The following is a 2,199-nucleotide window of genomic DNA, read 5'->3' as shown; positions in this document are numbered from 1 at the left end:
AAAGGATCAGGCAGATCTCGTCAAGGGGAAGTTACTTATTTATTTATTTTTGGTGAGAATTTATACATCCTTTGGTGAGAACCAAGGATGCCACATTGCATTTAGTAGTAATGTCTCTCCCCAGCCTCCTCTGGTCTATAATGGTTTCTCAATCTTTCCTTGTTTTACTTGACCTTGGCCATTTTGAGGAATACTGGTCAGTTTTACATTTTTGTAACGTGGCCCTCAGTATGTGTTTGTCTGATGCTTTCCTCACGATTAGACTAGGGTAATGATTCTGGGGAAGAATGCCACAGAGATGAAGTGCCCTTCTCATCATATCACATCAGGGGGTACAAAATATTAACATAACTCTTTGCTGGTGATGTTAACCTCGATCATTTTGTTATGGTGGTATTTACCAGATTTCTCCACAGCAAAGTTACTATTTTTTCCCCTTTCCATACTCTTTTCTTTGAATACAAGTCACCAAGTTCAGCCTATAGTCAAAGAAGGTGAGAGATTAAGCTTTACTTCCTAGAGCTTAATAATAATATATACCTATATTATTTGAAATTTTTCTATAAGGAAGTTTTTCCCCTTCTTATTTACTTCTTGTTCATTAACTCAATCTTTTATTTATATCAGCATGAATCATTATATTTATTTTATACTTGTGTTATAATCCAACACCATGTTACTTATTTTGGGTTCAAATTCTTCCAGCTTTGGACATTAGGAGCTCTATCAGGTTGGATTCTAAATCTCTTTGACATGTCTCCATTCTTTTTCTTTAACTCTTTAACAAGAGTTCCATTTGGTGTGTGGAGCCCATTTAATTTGAGAAAATGATCCTCAGATGACTGTTCTTGGTTTGCACTAAATGTCATTTTGCAGATGTATGGGACAGAATGCAAGTGATTGCTCTCCACAGCTCTGTGGGCTCTTGTCCTATATCAAAACGGTTTTGATTCACTCGCCTTCTCTCATGTTCAAAGCACACATTTGTTAAATTGTTTCAAGATGTCTCCAAGGTACAATTTTGTTTTTATAGTTACTGTCATCCCAAACTATTTAATGTTAATTTCTTACAACCTACTCCACTGTCAGCTTGCCTCATTGTTGATATTTATTTCCCAGCTAAATGTGCATTTATTTGTTGACATTTTTATTAAATTAGACCATAGTAAATCTGTCAGTGTTTATATCTTCTTTCCCTTTGTGCTCAAGAATTCAAAGTAAGTTGATGTGTTTATTAACTGGCTGACCAGTTGCCCTGAGCAACAATAAAGGGTAAGTGCTGTGATGTTAAACTATGGCAGGGGGTTGGGGGAACCCTAAAACCCCCTGTGATGTCTTGGCACATCTTGAGGTCCAGGACTGCTTCTGATGCCTTTGAATAAGGACCTCCAGAGAGATGGTCAAAGAAGACATCACTGTCCATCCTGTGCATCACTGAGAACTTGAAAAGGAGCATGGGATACCAAGAGAAACCTTGAAGAGTGCATAGGGAGCCTAAGAAATGACCTCTGTCTCCTGTTGCCTGATCAGAAAGTGTAATAGAATGATAAAGAACACAGGCTTGGATGTCAGACAGATCAGAGCTTGCCAGCTTGCTATCTAAGTTTGGGTAAGCTACTTAAATTCTCTAAGCCTGAAATATCTTATTTATATATTGGAGTTAATTATAATATCAACCACATAGAGTAATTATAAAGACCTAATGAGATAAGACACATATATGTTTAACATCATGCCTAACATAATGTAACTGCTCAAAAAATAGTGAGTGACTGCCATTATTATTTTCTTGCTTCGCTATAGAGTCCATTTTCTTCCCCTACCTAGTTCTGTCTGATTTCTGCTGCCATCCTGTATTACATTTGCCTATCCTGAATTACCTGCACGGGAGCAGTGATTCAGAATTATGACTTAGCCAAGTCAAACTTGGATTGCCTTCTTTCAAATTCAGGCCAAGATGCTTCCAGTTCACTTAAGAGAAATCTAGCAGCATAGAGTACTAGAATGAGCCCAAGCTTTGATGACAGAGGACCTCCCTCACAGGCCCTAGTGATTTTTTCAGAGTTGCAACAGCTTAAGCAAGCCAGATCAATTTCCCAGAAACTCAGTGTGCTAATCCATAAAGTGGGGACAATATCTTATCAGCCTGCTACCTCCCATGTAATCACTTAGTAAGCTGCAAAGTTTAGACAGATATTC

Source organism: Homo sapiens, chromosome 5 (assembly GCF_000001405.40).
Source record: "Homo sapiens chromosome 5, GRCh38.p14 Primary Assembly".
Taxonomy (NCBI): domain Eukaryota; kingdom Metazoa; phylum Chordata; class Mammalia; order Primates; family Hominidae; genus Homo; species Homo sapiens.
The sequence above is the reverse complement of the archived record's forward strand: the minus strand, read 5'-3'. Positions refer to the sequence as shown.